General features: G+C 46.9%; 1 protein-coding gene across 37 annotated transcripts in view, besides 9 other annotated features; it reads right to left on the bottom strand.

Moving 5' to 3' along the window:
- The window catches only part of GNAS (GNAS complex locus), a 71,445-nt gene that overhangs the window by 1,297 nt on the left and 49,298 nt on the right, over nucleotides 1-20,850 (bottom strand). For 4 of the 37 annotated variants that reach the window (NM_016592.5, XM_047440113.1, XM_047440114.1 and 1 more), the window contains exons 2-10: nucleotides 14,212-14,284; nucleotides 10,911-10,955; nucleotides 6,311-6,368; nucleotides 6,105-6,224; nucleotides 4,416-4,513; nucleotides 680-734; nucleotides 473-546; nucleotides 317-375; nucleotides 92-212 (exon numbers count right to left, since the gene is read on the bottom strand). Coding sequence is in view for 32 of the 37 variants with exons in the window: in XM_047440113.1 (XP_047296069.1) it covers nucleotides 92-212; nucleotides 317-375; nucleotides 473-546; nucleotides 680-734; nucleotides 4,416-4,513; nucleotides 6,105-6,224; nucleotides 6,311-6,368; nucleotides 10,911-10,955; nucleotides 14,212-14,284 (703 nt within the window). In the remaining 5 variants the exon portion in view is untranslated. Of the gene's footprint in view, nucleotides 1-91; nucleotides 213-316; nucleotides 376-472; nucleotides 547-679; nucleotides 735-4,415; nucleotides 4,514-6,104; nucleotides 6,225-6,310; nucleotides 6,369-9,396; nucleotides 9,948-10,910; nucleotides 10,956-14,211; nucleotides 14,285-17,389; nucleotides 17,734-18,030; nucleotides 18,476-20,346; nucleotides 20,717-20,850 lie in introns of those variants that run through there. The other 33 variants (NM_001410912.1, NM_001309861.2, NM_001077490.3 and 30 more) reach the window with 27 other exon arrangements.
- Nucleotides 1,774-2,253: an enhancer, noted in NCBI's record as "active region_18180". NCBI's record gives its function as "activates an Ori minimal core promoter by ATAC-STARR-seq in GM12878 lymphoblastoid cells {active_cell/tissue: GM12878}" and the evidence as "EXISTENCE:reporter gene assay evidence [ECO:0000049][PMID:35858748]".
- Nucleotides 10,175-10,726: an enhancer, noted in NCBI's record as "H3K4me1 hESC enhancer chr20:57474225-57474776 (GRCh37/hg19 assembly coordinates)". NCBI's record gives its function as "activates a minimal SCP1, AML or CMV promoter by ChIP-STARR-seq in naive H9 embryonic stem cells {active_cell/tissue: H9 hESC(naive)}" and the evidence as "EXISTENCE:reporter gene assay evidence [ECO:0000049][PMID:30033119]".
- Nucleotides 13,325-13,918: an enhancer, noted in NCBI's record as "H3K4me1 hESC enhancer chr20:57471033-57471626 (GRCh37/hg19 assembly coordinates)". NCBI's record gives its function as "activates a minimal SCP1, AML or CMV promoter by ChIP-STARR-seq in naive H9 embryonic stem cells {active_cell/tissue: H9 hESC(naive)}" and the evidence as "EXISTENCE:reporter gene assay evidence [ECO:0000049][PMID:30033119]".
- Nucleotides 13,919-14,513: an enhancer, noted in NCBI's record as "NANOG-H3K4me1 hESC enhancer chr20:57470438-57471032 (GRCh37/hg19 assembly coordinates)". NCBI's record gives its function as "activates a minimal SCP1, AML or CMV promoter by ChIP-STARR-seq in naive H9 embryonic stem cells {active_cell/tissue: H9 hESC(naive)}" and the evidence as "EXISTENCE:reporter gene assay evidence [ECO:0000049][PMID:30033119]".
- Nucleotides 17,318-17,407: a silencer, noted in NCBI's record as "silent region_13084". NCBI's record gives its function as "represses an Ori minimal core promoter by ATAC-STARR-seq in GM12878 lymphoblastoid cells {active_cell/tissue: GM12878}" and the evidence as "EXISTENCE:reporter gene assay evidence [ECO:0000049][PMID:35858748]".
- Nucleotides 18,278-18,497: a silencer, noted in NCBI's record as "silent region_13083". NCBI's record gives its function as "represses an Ori minimal core promoter by ATAC-STARR-seq in GM12878 lymphoblastoid cells {active_cell/tissue: GM12878}" and the evidence as "EXISTENCE:reporter gene assay evidence [ECO:0000049][PMID:35858748]".
- Nucleotides 18,508-19,007: a silencer, noted in NCBI's record as "silent region_13082". NCBI's record gives its function as "represses an Ori minimal core promoter by ATAC-STARR-seq in GM12878 lymphoblastoid cells {active_cell/tissue: GM12878}" and the evidence as "EXISTENCE:reporter gene assay evidence [ECO:0000049][PMID:35858748]".
- Nucleotides 19,068-19,217: a silencer, noted in NCBI's record as "silent region_13081". NCBI's record gives its function as "represses an Ori minimal core promoter by ATAC-STARR-seq in GM12878 lymphoblastoid cells {active_cell/tissue: GM12878}" and the evidence as "EXISTENCE:reporter gene assay evidence [ECO:0000049][PMID:35858748]".
- Nucleotides 20,418-20,697: a silencer, noted in NCBI's record as "silent region_13080". NCBI's record gives its function as "represses an Ori minimal core promoter by ATAC-STARR-seq in GM12878 lymphoblastoid cells {active_cell/tissue: GM12878}" and the evidence as "EXISTENCE:reporter gene assay evidence [ECO:0000049][PMID:35858748]".

The raw sequence follows: 20,850 nt of genomic DNA, 5'->3' as shown, positions 1-20,850 counted from the left end.
TCTGGAATGCTTGCACGGGGTTCTTCTCTATAAACAGTGCAGACCAGGGCCTCCTGGGCAAGCGCAGGGGGTGGGCGGTCACTCCACAAACCTGTTGTTCCAGATGCTCTTGAAGAGGTTCAGAGCCTCCTGCAGGCGGTTGGTCTGGTTGTCCTCCCGGATGACCATGTTGTAGCTGCTGCTGGCCACCACGAAGATGATGGCAGTCACATCTTAACCAAAGAGAGCAAAGCCAAGAGCGTGAGCAGCGACCCTGATCCCTAACAACACAGAAGCAAAGCGTTCTTTACGAACAGCCAAGCCCACAGCATCCTACCGTTGAAGCACTGGATCCACTTGCGGCGTTCATCGCGCTGGCCACCCACGTCAAACATGCTGGTGGGGAGGAGGACAGCTGGTTATTCCAGAGGGACTGGGGTGAATGTCAAGAAACCATGATCTCTGTTATATAAAAAGGTAACAGTTGGCTTACTGGAAGTTGACTTTGTCCACCTGGAACTTGGTCTCAAAGATTCCAGAAGTCAGGACACGGCAGCGAAGCAGGTCCTGAAACAAAATTGAGGTCAATGGATCTCACCAAAGCCAACCGAAACAGTAATAATTGCCAATCTAAAGCAAAGGTCTGGAGTAGTTTGGAAAGAGGGCTCAGAGTCCTCTGGTGGGGAGGGGTTTTGCACACCTGATCGCTCGGCACATAGTCAGCCTGCTTGATCACGTCGATCTTGTCCAGGAAGCTGGGAGAAAAAGAAAGACACGTGGGGTGTTCACAGCGCTCACATCAATTTGCCAACTATTTGTGTCTCTCTACAAGGTCAGGCTCAACGGAAGTGACCGTCCCACAGTTATGCAGCACTAAGTCAATGGCACATTTGCTTGTGTGTTGGTTACATTTGTAACTCAAAGCTGATGCCTTAAGAAGGTTAGGGCAAACAGGATTTAAGATAAATAATTTTAGGAATCAGGGAACTCTAGATGCGTCTAGCAGCTAGCCTGTGGCCTCGACGCAGTGGGGCCACACAAACAGCACAGCACGGTGGTGGGGCTTTGTTCTTCGTGTTTATTTTTATTTTTTCTATTTTTCTTTTTTATTCTTTACTTAGCTTCTTTATTCCTGTTGCTCTCTGGCAATATTCTTGATTTTTAGAAGGTTTTATGCATATCAACCAGTAGAGAAAGGACCCCAAAACCAGGCTGGCCTATCACATTCTGTGCCATTTGGTAATGCCTGACAAAAACATTTTAATTTTCAAATTGCTTGATTAAAATGGCAAACAGTTTGAAAATTGTATACCTCTATATCATTCAGTTAAAAAACAATAAAGTGACATTCTTAAAAACATCAAGGACTTTCCCCTCAAGGGCACACGAGATTGTTTTAGTTACTGAGAATCTGTATCCCTTCCTTTTTACTTTTTAAGAATCTCATTGATTAAAGAGAACAAAAGAGGTTGGCACAAAGGGGCCCTTCTCGCCCTAGCCATCCTGAACAGGAAACAAACACAAAGTTCTCTTCCGTTCTGTTTGGTCCATGAAATAGAACACTCCAGATATTACGCTTTTCATTAAAAAAAGCATCTTGTTTGTGTTGCTTGACTAGACACACAGGAAAATTTACTTTTGAAAGATTGGGGTAATTAATATGGAAAATTAATGTTAAAACCAGTTATTTTTTGGAGGGAGGGGCATGTAGAGATTGGAATTGTTTTAAAGCGGGCTAACGAGAAAAGAAAATCATAAAGAGAGAAAAGTTTATTTAAAGAAACTGCCTAAGTTTTCTGTTCCCCTCTTCCTTTTTACTAGTTCAGAGTTAGTCTGGCTTAGAGGATATACTAACTTGCCCAATCAATCTTACATTACAGCACCAGTCCAGAAATAGCTCCCCAGCCGCCCTGGCCTCCAGCATGTTACCATGGCAACAGAACCACAGTTCTATAAATAGATCATCAGCACCAAATCTTGTGAGAGAGACATCTGGAGTGGAGCCAGCCAAACCCCAGCTCAACAAATAAAAATAGACAGCTTAAGAAATGGGCACACTACCAGTATCTGAACTTTAACATAAAGGCAGTTCAACCAGAAACGTGCCGGCCACGGCAGATGCAGGGCTGTTTGAGCCACGGGTGAGGGAGGACATTTTAAAAGTTTTAAGCTGCGTTGTTCTCTTTTTCTCTGAGTTTCCTTAAAACTTTTCATGATCTATACAAATGGTGCGTTTTCAGACAAAGTTTCAGGAGTAATTAAGTGTTGCTTAAAAAAACCCCAAAAACTTCTAAATGATTTGAGAGAGAAAACGAAACCCGACAAAATTCAACAATCTGGCTAAGCTACTGTTAATTAACGAAACTGGGTCTCCCTGCCCCCCCAGCATTCAAAACTGGGGTGGTTAAACTCTCTTAATCTTGTACCTGTACTTAACTTCTGACTTGGATCCAAAATACAAAATGCAAACAATTCCAGGATTTCCATTTGTTTTGCGTTACTATAATTAGCGCTTCCAGCTTTTGGTTCGAACTTTTGAGAAAATCAGGGACTTTGTTGAAGAAGGAGTGGGGGCTGGGGGCCATAGGGACCAGCCAAGATGGACTGTTTTTTTCTGTTCCTTGAAAAAATATACACATTTGCTTGTATATTAAACCGTGGAATATCTATGTATGTGGCAATTGAAAATAAAGGAATTTCCTATGGGAAGGCAGGGCTGGGGTTGATAGATTGCGCAGACCCTAACAGAGGCTTATATGATTTATAGATGAACAGTATTACCTCTTCCTCCCTCCTGTTTATTCAGGTGGTTTTCACAATCAGTTCCTTGGGCTTGAGGCTACTAAGTAAAGCAATCTTAGCCCTTGGTGAGTCAGCCTGGCACCTTGGTTCTGATTAGCTAATACTTCCTATAGCAAAATCAGTTCCGAGTTTCAGCTACTTGTAATAAGGATGGCTAAAACATCAAACCTCTACTAGACTCCCCTGCCCCAAGTCACAGGACACTCCTACTTCAGAATATCATTAACTGAGACTGCTTTGTGCATTTCTGCAGCATCAACAAACAGAAGATATCTTTACATTTTTGGCTGGGCACGGTGGCTCATGCCTGTAATCCCAGCACTTTGGGAGGCCGAGGCAGGTGGATCACAAGGTCAGGAGTTCGAGACCAGCCTGGCCAATATGGTGAAACCCCATCTCTACTAAAAATACAAAAATTAGCTGGTTGTGGCGGCAGGCACCTGTAGTCCCAGCTACTCGGGAGGCTGAGGCAGGAGAATCACTTGAACCCAGGAGGCAGAGGTTGCAGTGAGCCAAGGTCGCACCACTGCACTCCAGCCTGGGTGACAGAGTGAGACTCCGTTTCAAAAAAATAATAATAATGTTTACATATTTTTTAAATAACCCTGACCACCACATGCTTGCTATATCATGTGCAAGATGAGGGAAGCCATAAACTATTTCAAAGGCAACTTTCTAGCTATCGGGTACGATGTCCTCTGGGAGAGACCATGGTGGGTGACAGGGACAGAGGGCGATCCCTGAGGCAATGGTAAGTCAGGTGTTAGGCAGCAAGGGAAGCAGCCTGGGCATCAGGTAGAGTTGTGCAATAAAGTCTGTGTTTTAAGTTCCCCCTTCTTCATTTGCCAACACACCAACCAGGTGAGCCCACCTTTATGAGTGACTTTGGAGAAAGATGCTTTTCCCATTGCTACTGCAGGCCTTAACCTGTCCTCCTCGCAGGTAGTAATTTGTTTTATTTGAAAATAACCCCACCACGGTATTGTACTGCTTAGGTGTACAGTTTAGGATTTAAAATCCATTGACCACTTACCATCCTTGAATCAAGACCCGGTGAGAAGGAATAAATAAGGATATGAAATAGAGTTCAAAAGTCAAGACAACACAAAAACAAACTCTACCTAGAGTCACTAGGATCTAGTAACACTAGGCAGCTACTAGAGTCGCTTACCTGAGAGCAGAAATAGATCAATCAACAACTACCAAGGAGAGAGGAGGCGTAGCTATGTCTTCACCATTCCTCTTTGTTATGTTTTAAAATTACAGCAATAAAATATAGTATTTTTACATTATTCAAAATGTGAGCACAGCCCTATTTCCCTAAATGCTTAGGGTCAATTCAATTAATTACTTCCTACTAATTAGGAATACTATGAAACTCATCATCATTTTGCTCTAACAGGCTTTAAATGTTTATGTAAAATAATGTCGCTGCACTAAAAGAAAAAAAATGCAATTAAGGACTTTATAAATAAACAATTGAATCAGATTAGAACTTTCTGCCAGTGGGGTAACTGGTTGGCTTCTAAGAAAGGAATCATCAACAAGTAACTTTCAAAGCAGGATCACAGGTTTTCATGTTTTCTTGTTTTTGTCTGTTTTATGTGCTGATGGGTTGGGTGGCGGTTACTTACTACTGGGCACAGTCAATCAGCTGGTACTCGTTGGAGCGTTCGTAGCAGGCACGCACTCCTTCATCCTCCCACAGAGCCTTGGCATGCTCATAGAATTCCTGAAAGTGAACACAAGAAAGTTTAGAGAAAGGCAAGAGCTTGAACTAATCAACAACACTGTCATTCAAACCCTGAGACCAGAGTTCCCTATGTGACCGACACTTGGTGTGATTTTGAATTTTGAGCCCAATTAATGAATTAATGCTCACAAAGAACTTTAATTCAACACGTTAAACATATTCAAAAGTTCACGCAATTAGCTGCTGGGTCTTATTGTGAATTACTGGTTTTGGGTAGTTTCTTTTCTCGTGTGTAGGGGGAATGGGGTAAGCTACTGAGTAATTTAGTTTCTTCACAGAATTGTTTAGGAAGAATATACACTAAATGTGTTAGAATATGCCAATAAATGGTTCAATGTTGTGAAAATAAGAAACTTCATTTGTAAGATGTGCTGGGACTAAATTTTCCTCCTGGGAAAATGTGAATCTTACCAAAAAAAATGATGATGGGGGACTTGTAGGTAGGAACATAAAAGTTCAGATGTTAGTAGGACTAATAAAAAGTTATTGTTCTGATACATTTTTAATAGGCTGCTGTTTCCTTTTCCTATTAAATATAGAATCATATTTCAAGAAAGTCAGTGGGTTATATTATACATATTGTGTTTATTGCTTTTTTTTCAAAATAATGCTATTTAAAAAGTTTAGCTATCCATACTAACTATATACCACTAAATTTCTCCAATTTAAGTTTGCAGCCAAGTCCATCTAAAATATACAAACACAAATTCCCACGAAAGCCTGACAAAAGGCAACAATAACTCATTGTTTTAGCTGTAGACAAGTCTCTTCCCTGTGGGTCTTACAAACGCATACATCTTTCCATCTCGTTTCCCGTTCCCCGCTTATAAGCCATTCTCCCCACGAAGGGGCCTAAACTTATATGCTTGGGCTTGAACAGTTTTTTGTTCCCTAAAAGTAGTTCTTTAGGGAGCCAACAGTGTCGTGCATCCAGAGGAAAGTCTTTTCCATATGTTCTATTTTATGATTTTTGAGTTATGATTTAGATATATTTCATTTTTTTTAATAATGAGAAAAGATTTCATTTGCCCCAAGGACTTTAGAAAACTCTTAATAAAAAGGTCACCTGTTTAAAATGAGAATGTCTTCCATTTGGCACTTCACTGAGGCATCCCAAGGTACCTTAGGGCACTTCCAGTGGAGTAAATGGACAATTAGTATTTGTGTGCCATATTTAACATACAGTTTTGTCCTAAGATGTGAATGAGGGAATAATTAAGCCTGCCATAGCTCAGGACCTTTTTCCTCATAAAAATTTACAATCTAATAAAGTGAGATTGTAGTATTCAAGAGTGATGTTTATTTGTGAGGACAGGTGAGCTAAGATGTAGAAGGGGTGACAGAATTTTGCTCATCCATCTTGAACAAAGCCCTAATGATTATTATTATTAAATTAAGGTTACACATGAAATTAACTTTTTCCTAAGGATGGACATCACTGAAATGTAGTTTTGCCTGAAGTGTGGTTTGGATGCTCCTGCCCATGTGCAGGGCTGTCACTCATGTTCCTATATGGACACTGTGCTCAGGTGGGCGGGGCTAAGGCCACACAAGTCGGGGTGTAGCTTACGGGAGGGAAGTCAAAGTCAGGCACGTTCATCACACTCAGGATGTAGTCCACTCTGAACTGGTTCTCGGGGTTGGCCAGCTCCACGGGGGGCACCAGGTTGCTCATGGCGGCCACAATGGTCTGAAAATGATTTAGCAAAGCGGTCAGGGAACAGCACTGGCTGGGAGGGCGCTACAAGACAGACAGCACAAGGAGCCAGCACGTACTTCAATCGCCTCTTTCAGGTTGTTTTTGATGTCCTGCACTTTGGTTGCCTTCTCACTGCAGTGGGATTGAAAAGAAAAGAAAATCATATTGCACCATGTCAGTTAGGAGTACTGCTTTCATAAAGACATCCCGACTAAAAAGCATAGTATTCTGTTCTTCAGGGAGTTGTGGGTTCGGATCTGTGCAAAGATTGGAGGTAGCTGAATAAACATAGTTGCAAATTATAACCTCCCAAATGTGCCCTGAGGACACGCCCAATCGGGGCAGATTAGCAAATTGCCTTAGCAATCATGACTGTACCAGAAGTTGCATGCAGCTCATTTAATCTTTCATGGGTTTGAAGCCCCCACACTACATACTAACACTTCCTAAAGGCTTCTCCTGGTCCTATCAACATCTGGGTAGGGGTGAGGCTGGAGTGATAGGTCACTATGAGGTTGGGGTGGAACAAAACAGTCCCATGGTTTGACTTGGAATTAACTCAGTTGCTAGCATACTGAGAGAACCAGTGAGCACAGGTGGTGGTGTTTATAATAGTTCATTACAGGAGCCCGGGTGCGGTGGCTCACACCTGTAATCCCAGCACTTTGGGAGGCTGAGGCGGGCAGACTGCCTGAGGTCAGGAGTTGGAGACCAGTCTGGCCAACATGGTGAAACCCCGTCTCTACTAAAAACACACAAAAAAACTAGCTGGGCATGGTGGCATGCACCTGTAATCCCAGCTACTAGGGAGGCTGAGGCAGGAGAATTGCTTGAACCCGGGAGGCGGAGGTTGCAGTAAGCTGAGATGGCACCACTGCACTCCAGCCAGGGCGAGAGTGAGACTCTGTCAAAAAAAAAAAAAAAAAAAAAAAAAAAAGTCGTATGTGCGATGCTCCAGGCACTGCAGCTAGCAGCAATGAAACTTCTAGTTCATGATGTTAGTGCATGTTGGTCCATGTGCAATAGGAATCAAATAAGATTCCACCCCCTAGAAGGCCTTATAATCTAAGGGGGAGGGGAGGTCAGATCCCTCTGGTAAGTAGAGGTTGAAGGTTTTGTAGCTTTTCCTTGAGTTTAACTCAGCCACATGGGATGGCCTGCGTGGTCTTTATGGAATGATCTATATTCAGGGTCACTGGTCCCACAGGTAAAGGACACACCCTTTGGCTTCTGGGGACCATAACAGAATGTTAATTTTTGTACCACATTACACTGATCCAAATGCTGTATGTTTTTCAGAAACTAGCCTTCATTAGAAGCACAGCCAGGGAAGGTTCTCGAGTTTATGTTTTTAGAGGGCAAGAAAAGGCCTCTTGTGTGGAGTATGTATCTCATCAGGTCTATAGCCCAAAAATGGAACCAGCACACACAGCACACCTGCTGTACCTGTTAGGCCCTGGGAGGTGAGGGCGTTGTCATGCGGAAAAAAGGTGCTACGGTCCTGCCTCTCTGACAGGGAAACTGAGGCCAAGAGGGGGGGAGTCACCGAGGCAGAAACCAATGGGAGATGGAGGGGACAGAGTTTATCTTTTTCACGGTTTGTATATATATATTTTTTAATCTTTTGAGAGTCCCAGTTTTTGAAGCATTCACTTGGCTGATTCACCAATTCATAGACTGGAGTAGAAATTAAAACATATAATCTCTCCAGACTAGAACACGACAGTTAAGGCAGAGGAAAGGCGAAGGGAGGTTAATTAGCAAGAGCAGACGAGCAGACGAGCAGGGCAGGGCAGTCAGTGGAGCAGCAGGGGTGGGGGGCGGGGACGGACGGTGGGGTCAAGTGCGGGCCTGTCGACAGGCCTTCCACAAATCATTTGGTCTTTCCTTTCTCAAAGAATTATACTTACAAATTTATTCTTTCTGAATAAATGTCTGTGTACTTCTGGGCCTTCACCTGCTGAAGGATCCCATCTCGCCCCCTTCCTACGTGAAGCCCCTTTCACAGGTCACTGCACCACTGCTCTTCTACATTGGGTGAAGAGCTGGGGAAGTTCAGAGGGGCCACGCTCATTAGTGGTGGGGGGTGTCTGGGGTGGGGAGGGGGGACAGATGTTGCCAGGAATCCCCTCAGGGCCATTTAAGTAAAAGTGCTGCAGGTCCGGAGAATCTCAGAAACACAGATGACAGGGAGGTGAGCGAGCTTCAGGCCTTGTGTACAAATCTGAAATCTGATTCTGGCCCCCAGACTCTTAAAGCAACCACCTTAGAGTGAAAGGGAGTGAGTCCTGACCGCTCTGTGCGACTGTCTGCTTTGTATGTGCAGAATCAAAGCTCATTTCTGAAATTAAGAATCCCCGGCCTTGGTATTACAGTCTAACATCGATTATTTAGATGTTATAAATTAAAAGGACATGTGTTTGATGGTCCCCAATGTTCACTTTTGAATTCAGAATTTACCCAAAACCCCCTAGGGCAAATCTATTCCCATTCATTAAAAGCAGGCTCCACTTCACAGGTAATGAAAGCTATTAACCTTTGGTTTTGAGGTTCCACAATAGTAAAATTAAATACATTCGGGTACTAAATATCCAAATCTGCATACAGCAAGAGAAAGTATTTCCAGAAACAAGTTTCTTTCATTCAGTTTGATATTTTGGTCTAAGCAGTAGTATGATAATTGGAAAACTTCCCGTCTTAAAATACGGATATTTTGAGAACGTGTTCAGTATTCATCTACGTATGTGAATAGGTGTGGGAGTATATCAAGTATAAAACAGCTAAAATAGAAATCTAAAATCTAATTCGGGTGTGTAATACTAAAACATAAAATTCTTCCATTGAAGCAATTACTATGTAGATGGAGATATTATACTGGGGGTTGGCGGGTTTATCATCACTTTTACTATTGCTTAATGAATTTAACGTTGATTGTGAAATTCAGAGAAAATTCCTTAGATGTCTTTAAACTACTCAACAAAGGCAAAACATATGCCATTAGCTAGAATTCTGATTCGCTACAAAATTGGGACTAAGGCTGGAAGTACTTTTAGGGTCTTGGTTCCTCCTCCTCCCCCTTCTATGTATACAGCAGATGGGATGCGTTCAGTTTTTAAGAGCTCCTCCCCTCCCCCCGCTTCAGCTAACTAAGTGGTGGGGGAAGCTATTCAGGTCTCCACCTTAATCCTTGTGCTTTGGTGGGAAAAGACAGACAAAGGAAGGAAGACAGAAGACAGACGCGAGATACAGGGATTGCTGAAACATGCAGAGAATTTTTATTTATCACGAATGTTAATACTTATATTGACTTGCAGAACAGAGTGAGAGAGACGTGCAGGCCAAGGTATTAGTAGGGTTCAAGGGTTTAGCAGGACATCTAGTACACAGTAGGTTGCTCACTAAGGACTTGTCATATCTTGCTCAAATGCCAACTTTTGGTACAGCAGATTGTCAATTAGTCATTTCTTATAGAGATGCCTTTTTGGATAGTTGTCATACTACATTTCTGCCAATTAAGGATTTCAGTTCATTTTTCGTTTTTTCAATCATCGTTTAAGGTCAGGTAGCAGGGGCCCCATCCCCCCTCCCCCCTCAGATAACAGAATAGTATTCTTATTAGAAGTTCCTAAGACCGAGCAATTCCAGCATGCAAATTGTGATAGGACATAGCCGGGAAGATGAGAAACTGTAGCCATCATCTAGGGATATTATATTCTAAAAGAAACAGATGAACAAACATGTGTCAGTTACTTTGTCCCCAGACCCCAATATCTTTGCCCCTCCCCTCCCCGGCCACAGAAGCTGTTTCTTTGAGATGCCCTAAACTAAGTCAATGGTTCTGGATGGTCTCATGAGAAATAGCCACTCCACCACTGCATGCTAAATACACAGCAGAGCTAGAGTGGTTACCTGGCATGCGTGTGTGTGTGCGCGGCGCGTGTGGCTGTGTGTGCGTGTGATGTGTGTGCGTGTCTGTGTATGCATGTGCATGTGTGTGCGTGTGTGTGTGTGTGATGGGTGTGGGGATGCAGGAAGCAAAGAAAAAATAATTTGATAATGAATGGAAAAATAAAAGATGCCATCATGAATTTCCTTATCCACCAAGCTAACGTAAAGTGCCTTTGATTCAAATAAATTTGATCATTTTTAAAAGGCCAGAGGCTTTTCGAGATGATTCTTAACGACCTGCTGCAAGGTACCAAGGCGTTTTTCAAAATTAAAGACGGTGCAGCATTGCATATTTTAATAAAGGAAACAAATTTTGTTTCAAAGAGGTCTGAAATTTTAAAATCAGACCAACCAGTGGGTAGATGGAATTTAGTAGATAGTTTTAAAACAAGCAGCTGGTTCAAATGGAGAGCTGGGGGAAAACAGAAACCATATGGAAAAACATCAATTCTCAAAATCCTAAACTGATCATCCAAGGCTGAAATCTATAACTTTCCCCCAGCTGGATCTCATTCTACTTTAAGCATGGCCAAAAAAATTTATGTTACGCACTTTACTTGCTCCAAAATGTCAGGAAATTGTGTGTTATTCACAAATGTATGCCAATATGGCTGATGGTCCTTTAAATGATTTTTATTTTCTTCCCGGGTCTCTGGCCTCAGTTTCCCAGTATGATCTTCATGTTTGTTTGGTTTGTTAACAATTTTTTCTGGTTTTGAATGTGCCTACCCATCGCTGTTGCTCCTTGCAGCCTGCGGGTCCTCTTCGCCGCCCCTTTTAAAGAGAGATTGAAAGCTCACCTAATCTGCAAGGCACCGCAGTGTCACACAAACCCCACACAGTCTCTCTACATTCCTCAACCATCAGCCAAGAGCAAAAGCAACAATTCGCGCGCCAGCCATCCATCCTCCCGGCAATTCTTAGGTCGCCTTTCTGGCTAAATTGGAACATCCACTGAGACTGCAGGCCATGGGGGAAGAATCCCACACCTTTGCTGCAGTATTAACAGAGCTCTCTGGAGACTCTGGTCGGAGACAGGAGGGATGGATAATTGTTTTCTTGTGCTTTCACTAAACGTACACGCATTAGGGAGCTAAAGCAGTGATTTATCTCACAATTCTTTGGAGAATATGGCAGCGCATAAGGCTCCTAATTCTCCCAGGTCAGAATCTTCCCAAGGTTGTAACTTAAGGCATAAAGGCATAAACGGGGGAGATTTCTGCCCAGGATTTCCTGCAAAACTAATGACCTCACTTCTTGCAGTGGAAGGAAACTACCTATAAAATGGTTTTATTTATAAATAATTGTTCCCCATAAATTGTCATTAAACTATGTCTGGACTGTGATGTAGCAAAAAAAATTTCAAAGAACAAAAGCCCACCCACCACCACCACAGAAAAAACAAAAAGAACAAAAGCCCACCCACCACCACCACGGAAAAAAGAAAAAGAAAAAAAAAACCAAAAACCCAAACCCGATCTTCATAAACAGTAGGAATTCCTCCTTGAAGGCCGAAGGGCAGCATTCTACAGTTTGGTAATTGATTAGCTTAGTTCAACCAATGTTAATGGTGTTTATGTTTTGTTTTTGTTTTGTTCCTGGCACTAAATGTAAGAAACAGAGTTAGTTTTGAGTTAGAAAATCCGCATCCAACCTCTGTATTTCTGAAGGTCAAATCAGTATTATCTTACTCTTAAAAATGTAATCAGCATGGCAGCCCGCAGAGAGTTAAGGCAAATTTAATAGCTCAGCCGAGCCCTAACAAAACGCAAGATCAGGGAGGAAGAACCCTGTACCACCCAGACCACCCTTTAGGGACAGATGTCACTGTCTCATAGGGAATTCCTAGTTAAGAAGGAAATAGCTTTTGTTGCAATACCGCAGTGAGGAAAAAGAAAAAAGGAGGCAGTTGGATGAGATAAAAATAAGGTATCTAGGCTCCCATGAGGAATACCCCTGTAAACCCTCTCACAGGCTAAATTTAACGTATCTGTGCCCTTGTCTGCAAAGAAGGCAAACTGGGAATGTTGCTTCCTCTTTCCAAAAAGAAAACAGAAAAGAGAAGTTCTGGTTTAAAACCCTTGCCTGGTGTTACAGGCTGGCTCGCTTAGGGAGGAGAATCCTTTCTATAAAAATTTTTAAATTTTAGGGCAATCTGTAATGAAGCTGTCAGTAATTTATTTCAAAGGTGACTTAGCTTCCATCCGACTCAAGCTAAGGTAAACAGTGGCTGCTGCATCTTTGAAAAATGCTAGCCATGTCCAGTTTTCATCAAAATATTTATCTAGAGGATACATGGTCAAATTATTTTTGCTTAACTACTCTCATGAATAAGTAAGTACTCCTGCAAGTTGCAGGGGGAAAATTTATGCAAGATTTTTCTTCAAATGACAGATTCATGGTTGGAAGTCTGTCTCAGGGTTATTTATTTATTGTCAGGATGGCAGTCTCCGCTGGCAGGGCTTTATCGAGGGGTGTGTCAAGAATTAATTTCGGAATTGGTTGGTGACAAGTGATGCTGACTTACTCAATAGCACGTATGTGCATGTTGATAACCCATTGAGAGTCATAATCAGATGAGTGAAGAAGCCCCCTGTGCATCCCAACCAATCCTTCTGAATTCAGGGTTAAAGTAGAAAAAGCATCCTCAACTAACAGGACTATTCGTATGGGTGATGTCATCCTTCTCTAAACAATTATTTGATCTAACAAATTCTAGAATTCTCTATAAGGAGCTGCCTGCCTTGCTCTGAAAGGTGAAAAAGTTCACCTTTGTTTCCTGGATGCTTAGTGACTAGTAAAGGTTTTTTTGTTTGTTTTGTTTGTTTTTTTGGGGGGTGGTTGGTATAATTAAACGCTACCACCTTGACTCCAACTCCCCTTTTGAAATGGAAGCTGAAGCAACTCAAGGTTAAATTTTCAATCGAATCCAAGTTTAAGAAAGGGAACAGGACTGTGCCAACCAGCTAGTAATTACAAACTAGTGCCTTCAGGTGCTTGAAATCTAGTGCGGTTAATGCTCTCATACCAGTGAAAACAGACTGGTCAACTTAGTTTTTTTGTTTTGTTTTTTCTTTTTCTTTTTTTTTTTTTACACGTTTTGTTACACGAGAACGATGGGTAGGCCCCATCTGGGGTCTTGGGGAGAAAAGCAAGTTCCCCGATTTATTGAATGTTCCCTGTTTGCATTCCCCATGCCAGGCAGGGCTTCCTAACTCGTCTCACAGGTCTAATACAAAGTCTCTCCTGTTTAATCTTCATTCCCACTACGGATTGCCACATTGTGCTATACCAGGATACCTGGGAGGACTTCTCAAAGGCAAAAATGCCCCTCAGTGAGGCTGGGAGTGCCTAACTCCCAGTCTTTCCATCCTTTAAATAAATGTTCCCTCTTCTTTTCTGTAGGCAGGGGTACTGATTTGTTTTTTGTTTTAAAGGGAAACAATGATTTACCCATAATGGTAATTTAAAGGGGGACAAAAAAAATGAGAAACTGTAAACACGGGCTGCCACTTCCACATCTGTTTCTGGTGAGAATATTATGGAAACAATGTTTCCCTAATAGTTTAAAACATCCTGTGTTGGTTCATTACATTGAAATCTGCGTGAGGTGGGGTGGGGTGAATTTGCAGTGATCAGCGTGGGCCGGACGAGGGGGCGGCCAAAGCCACGTTGAAGACACTGCAGTGATGTCCGAAGACTGTGGCAGGGACCTGGCCCGGAGAGGGGCTGTCACGGGGCCAAGTGCTGTCAAGCGTCCCCTGCAACCAGGCACGATTTTCTTGGGATAGGGAGATGTTTGTCACAAACACTGGTGCTTTCATCAGTAGTATTTGTTGCACCAAAGATCCAAGGGGGTGGGGGGTGAGGGACCCTAAAGAGCCCTTCCCAGGATTTTCTAATATGTAAATCAGGAAAAATTAAGTGAAAACTGGCTGCCCAGCCCCCAAAGCCCACCTATACTTCCTAAAGGTTAGTATAAAGTCTGTTCCTCTTACTTGGTGCCCCCCTGCACAGATTTGACACTTACTCTCCATTAAACCCATTAACATGCAGGATCCTCATCTGCTTCACAATGGTGCTTTTACCAGATTCTCCAGCACCTAGAAAATGAAAGTAAGTCTCAGGTTATGAAGGAGGCATTTTAACACTTTGGGCAGGGAGGTCTGCTGTTGTTGTTTTGTTTTTCCATAGAAGCAACATGCAAAAAACCAAACACAAAATCACAGACTTGCAACTTTCCTTGACATTTCGACGCAGAGAAAAGGAAATCAATGTCCAATTCAGTGTCTACCTGCAGTATTTCACCATCCAAATAACAAACAAGAATTTAAGGTTTGCTGGTTTTAATTTTTCTTTTGATTGTTTAAAAAATTGTGGGGTGGTGTTGGAAAGGGGCAAAGAGAAGGAATGACGCAATTTTGTCATTTGTGGGGTAAACAAGAAAATTGAAGTTAAAACTGTGAAACTGAATCCCTGATACATGAACATTCACACATAAACATATCTAGACACATAATTTGTTGTCAGATGTTTCATGGTTAAAATACCCGGGATTCCCAACAATGCCCAGACACTGCAGTCTCTTCCACATCACGTAGCGATGCAGCACTTTCCTCCTCAACATTTTCACAACGCAGCTTCTTTCTGTGCAGGTTTCCTACCCCTTGGGCTACTTAAAAATCCACCCCTAAAACTGCATTACATTTTATCCACTTATCCATCCTCCTCTTTCCTCACAAACTATATCTTTCTAAAGATAAATTCCCTCTGGGTACAACTATGTTGCTGAGGAAAAGGGGAGACCATCAATTATCTGTCATCTTCTGGAAAAACCACACTTTAACATCAAATACAGTTCCTGAGACCCTATTAGCATTAGGTAAACTGCAAAAACAACAGTAAAAAGTAACATAAGAACAAAACTTTAATCAAAAGGAAAACTATCCCTGGGAAGTACTGAATTTGAAAGATTCCAAGCCCTTCCCAACTCAAAGAGTAGAAACACATGCCTCCATTTTAAATCATCTTTCATTTGTAAAAATACATATATGTTTCATGGAAAAAACACATTTCCATCAAGCTAGAGGGAGGATTGCTATTTTGCATCTTTTTTGCAATGCACATTCTCCAACAGATAATCCACGTGTGAAGTTTTTTTGCCCTCCTTCCACACAAATCTGTTATTACCTTTTTCTTTCTTTTTAACTTTTAATTGTATTGTTTTGTTTTAATGCCCAGATAGCACAGCATTCCTCCTTTACTTGCCTTTTCACAAGCCCGTAATCAATATCTGTAAAAGTTAAAATTAGTTTCCACAGAAACATTGATTTCAAAGCAAACACTATCTTAATGAGCCTAACTCTGGTAAATTAAAAATATAAATGGCACTATTAAGAGAGGCCAAGGAAACAATACGTAATATTTAGCAGGATCTCTAATATTCTAATTTCAGAAGTGTTAAACTGTGTAACAGTTACAGGACCTATCTTTCATAGGCAAAAACAGATCCGTGCCTCAGTTTCCACATTTATGAAATGTGGCTGAAAAATTATTTTAAGATCATTGTAGTTCTCTAATTCACTTAATTTTTATGTCATTAAGATGGAGTAAAAAGAGGATTTGGGGCATTATTAGGTTTCCTCTTTTGTGGGGAGGCATTATTTGGTGAGAATCACCATTTAAAAATGCAAAATATTGTGTCACTGGCTTAAGCTGCAGATTCCTAGGCCAGAGGCAATCAATACATCATGATGTAATGTAGTCATATAGACTAGGACACTTAGATTAGCCCCCGTGACGCAAGGCGTGTTCTGAGTAACAGTCTCAAATTAAGTGGAGACTTTGTGATCACTGCACAAAAGGTGTTGGAAATTTTAAGATATCATTAGCATCACACTTGACTTAAAGTAGTACTGAGATAGCATTCACAGAAAAGATTCTAGACTTTTCCAGATTTATACTTTGAAATCAAGTTATACGCATACTAATATCCCAACAGCATAATTCTGCCTTTAAAAGTTTTAGACAAGACAGCAACACATGTACCATTTAATTACTGAAATTGCAAATGCATAAACACCAAAGACACTTATTTTGACTTAATTAGTAATTTTCTGCTTTTATAAATCTGGACCCAGGAGAACAAAGTCATGACCTATGCAAAAAGAGCAAACCAAAAGCCACCAAAGGAAAATAAATAAGAACAGCCTTTTATTATTTTCTTTATACTCAAGCTGTTTTGTTGAAATGTGACCACGAACTAGGTCTTAACCTAGCAAATTCACAAATTTATTCAGATAGCCAAATTATCAAGGAAGTGGAAAACTTCCATTTTTAATTAATGCTGTGTAATTCTTTTGGTCATTTCATTACATTTTTTTCCCCCAAAACAGCACCTTAAGAAAAAAAAGGAGGAAAGGCCATCTCCTTATAGTTAACCTTTTTTTATTTTATTATTATTTTTTTAATCAGAGGAAAAATCGCAATCAAAAAAAGAAAACCCAAAACCAAACAACTAAATGTCACTTGATAAACAACTAATTAATGTCTTTTTATCTCTTCCCACCTGGAGGAAAAGTCTCCTTAGAGCACTCTCAATCCCCCCTCCCACCTTGAGGAGGACAAAAAAAAAAAAAAAAAAAAAAAGAAACCACGCCATTTCCAGACCAAGAAGCCATTTACAGACAAATGTCATTCTCCAGTTTTATCTGATTTGTGAATGTCTTTGTTTTTTCTTTTCACAAAGCACTCTCAATGTGGCCAGCCAGCAGGAAAATGTGTTTTTTTTAATGGTTTATTAAAATAGTGTTGGGGGGGCGCTGCTCGTGGTGGGTGGGGGGGGCAGCTGCTACAATTAATTCTCCGCTCTGCTTTTGAAAAAGCCTGCAAGTCTGGAAGGGGAAAAAAAGGTCACACTGTAAAATGACGTGTCATTTGGCTTCACTGGGCACTTCTCGTACTAACTCTATCCATTTTTTGGTGTTGGGGGGTGGTCTTATTTTATTTGACTCTCCTTCTCCTCCTTCCACGGCCCGGCCTGGCCCGGGACACGTCTGCTCCGCGCACACACAGTCAGTCGGTCCTGCCCGAAACGCACCAAGTCGCGCCCAGCGGCAACCGCCCTCCCTCCTCCCCTCGCCGCCCCCCTCCCGACTCCGGCGCCACGACTCCCTTGCGCCCCCTCCCCCCCACTGCACCACCTTTACCGCTCCGATCCTTTCCGAGGGGCTGATGTCACCAGCCCCCCCACTCTCCTCGGCCACTTCTCCCCGCCAAAGCCTCCCTTTGGCGAGGCCCCCTCCGCCACCACGGCGCCCCCCAGCGTCACCCCCTCCTCTCCTCGCCCCTTTCTTCCCCTCTTTCCCTCTCCCAACAAATCTCACACCCCACGGAGGCGGGTCCCCCTCCCTCTACCCGCCACCCGGTTTCCTGTCCCCGAAACCCTCTTTTTGTCGCAGTCTCCGGAGCCCCATGGGCTCCCCCTCCCCCTCCCCAACACGCACCCAAACCCCTGGCGTCGTGTAGGCCTCGCGGAAAAAGAGAGAAAGAGAGAAAGAGGGGGAGAGCGAGAGCGAGAGCAAGAGAGAGACACTGAGCGGGCAGGCCGGGGGAGGGGGACCCGCGCCCGCGTCGCCACGGCCCCCCGCCCCGTTTTTGAGCCCCCGCCCGGCCGAATCCGCGCCCCTGGGTCCCCCTTCCGGCCTCGCCCCCCACAGACAGAGCCCGCGAACGGGCGGGGGGCTCGGGAGCGCGCGCCCGGGGCGGGGGGCGGGCTCGGCGCGCGCGGCCTGCGGGGCGCCCTTCGAGGGCCCCCGGGCCGGGGCCGGCGCCCCCCGCCCGCCCTTACCCAGCAGCAGCAGGCGGTGCGTGGCCCGGTAGACCTGCTTGTCCTTCTGCAGCTGCTTCTCGATCTTTTTGTTGGCCTCACGCTGCGCCTTCTCCTCGTTGCGCTGGTCCTCGGTCTTACTGTTCCCGAGGCAGCCCATGGCGGCGGCGGCGGCGGCGGGGCGCGGCCGGGCTGCGGCGGCGGCGGGCGCGGGCGGCCTCACGCGGGCCGGGAGGGCCGGGGCAGCGCCGGGCGGGCGGGCCGGGCGCGGGCTCGGCTCCTCGGCAAGGAGCGCGCGGGGCGGACTGCGGGCCGCGGGCCGCGGGGCGCGCGGACGGGCGGGAAGGGGAGGGTGTCGGTCGGACCGAGGGGCGCGCGCAGCTCCCCGCCCCTCGAGCCGAGGCCGAGGGGGCTGATGGCCGCCGCCGGGCCGAGGCGGACCAGAGCAGGAGCTGCGGGAGCTGCTGCCGCCGCTGCCGCCGCCGCCGCTCTTATTGCCTCGGCCGGGCCCCCGCCGCCGCCCCGAGCCAAAAGCGCCGCGGCGGGCGGGGGGAGGCGGGGGGAGGAGGAGGCGGCGGCGGCGAGGGGGGTGGAAGGAGGAGGAGGAGGAGGAGGGCCGAGGAGCGGCCGCGGCGGCGGCGGCGGCTGGGAGGGCGGGAGCCGGCGGAGGGAGGCGGCCCCCCGGGAGCCCGGGGAGGGGGTCCCTCCGCCCGCGCCCGGCCGGGGACGGGACGGGCCGGGGAGACGCCCCCCACCCCCCGGGCTCGGGCAGCAGCCCGGCTGAGCCGAGGGGGGAGAGGGGGCGTCTCCGCGCCAGTGACGACCCCTCGCACGACGCCAACGCTCCACCCCCCGGACCGCGTCGCCCGGCGCCCCCGAGGCCTCCTCCCCCTCCCGCGGGCGCCGCCGAGGGGCTGGGGTGGGCGGAAGGGGAGGGAGCGCGCGCCCGGACTTAGGAAAATTTTCGAAAGAGCGAGAGACACAGAGAGCCAGAGAGCAGGAGTGTGGAAAAAGCGAGGCGAGCACGAACCAAAGGACAGAGCAACCGAAAAGGAAAATGTGTCCACACACACACACGAACACGAATAAAAACCCACACTACACAGCGATGGTGGTGTCTGGTGGCGGTGGCGGGGTGGGGGGTCTGACTAGATGAGCCGCTCCTCGCGCCCCCGGCGCCGGGCGCCATGGCCCGAGCCGAAGGCGCCTCTGGCCCCGGAGCGCCCGCGGCCTCTGCGCTTGGCGCGGCCGCCCAAGTAGGAGAAGAAGGCGCAGCCCAGGAACACTCGGAAGCAGCAGGTCGCCCCGAACACGAAGCCGCAGCCGCGGCCCTGCTCCGTGCGCTTCTGCAGCAGGAAGTTGAGCACCCACGAGGGGCTGCGCACCGAGAAGACCAGGAACACCACGAGGGGCAGGTGGGCGCTCAGCGCGCCAGCCTTGAGCGGCCCGGGCCGCCACACGATGCCCCCAACGCGCGGCGCCGCGTAGTAGGCGTCGTCCTCGTCGCTCGAGTCCGTGTCCCAGTCAGCCCAGGCCCTACTCGTGCCCCCGGCGGCGGCGCCCTCCTCGGCGCCCCCGACGGCGCCCTCCTCGGCGCCCTCGTCGTCGTCGGCGGCGGCCGCGGCGGCGGCGGCCTCGGGGCATCGGGCCTCCTCCTGGGCTTCTGGCACCTTCTTCTTCTTCTTCTTCAGCATCTTCTCCATCTTCTTCCTCTCCTTCTCCTTCTTCTTCTCCTCCTTTCGCCTCTGCTCCAGCAGCTTCTTCTCGAGCTTCTTGCGCTCCTTGTCTGTTAGGAACTTTTCGGGGAGCGCCTCCCGCGCCGGGTTCTTGGGGTTCTTCGCGAGCTTCTCGGGGTCCCCGCTCTTCCGCGGCGCGAGCGGCTCTCTCGGCTCGGCCAACGCCGCAGCCGCCGCCGCAGCTTCGGCAGCCACCTCGGCAGCCGCCGCGGCCGTCTTCTTCTCGCTCTCCGCCGCCCGGGCTTTGAGCTTCATGGCCATCTTCAGCATGGTGGCCCGGCCACCTCGGGGAGCTCGGCTCGCGCCTGGCCCGGGCTCCCTGCTTGCCCCCGGCCTCGGGCTGCCCGGCCCCCGTGCGCCCCGTGTCGGGGGGCTTGGCTGCGGTTCCCGCCGCGCTGCCCCGGGGCCGCGGAGCGCGGCTGCCCGGGCTTCGGGCTGCTGGGCTGGCTGCCTAAGAGTTAGCGCCAAAAAGGATGAGCAAACGAAAAAGGGACAAGAACAAACCAAAAAGCACCCAACAACAGCGAGAAACCAAAAAGCACCAAGAAATGTCAACTCAAAAAGAAAAGTGCAAAGGCGCGGATGGCAGGAGTCTGTTTACCCTCAGGCGCTCCTTGGTTTGGCTCTTGGGCACGCCAATGGAGAAGAGAAAAGAGAGAGAATTGGGGGGTGCCCGGAGGCGCCCCGGGGCAAGGCAGCGGCGCCCGGGCGCCCCTGCCTTGTCCCGGACCCGGCGGCTCTTGCCTGCGCCGGGCGACTCGCACTTCCGCGGGAGGCCCCGGCGCTCCCCGACTTACATGTGAGTGAGGTGCACTCACACGCAAGGCAGCGCCTGCCGGCCGCCCGCCGCCGCCCCGCGCCGGGACAGGGGCTCGCTCCAGCCGCCGCGCCGCAGCCCGGAGCCAGAGAGCAGGGGAGCGCCGCGCCGGCCAGCCACCTGACGCAGCCCGCTCCGCGGTGCCGACGCGACTGAGTGTCCCCGCCGGGGAGCAGAGCTTCTAACCGGCCCCGATGACGCCCCAGCCTCTTCAGAGGACCGACCCATAGCAGCGGCCCCTATAAACCGAAGGGGAAGCGCGAAAAATCGGCCCACCGGGGACGCACC

The sequence above is a fragment of the Homo sapiens genome, chromosome 20 (genome assembly GCF_000001405.40).
Source record: "Homo sapiens chromosome 20, GRCh38.p14 Primary Assembly".
Classification (NCBI taxonomy): Eukaryota; Metazoa; Chordata; class Mammalia; order Primates; family Hominidae; genus Homo; species Homo sapiens.
Note: the sequence above shows the minus strand (reverse complement) of the source record. Positions and strands in the feature narration are given on the sequence as shown.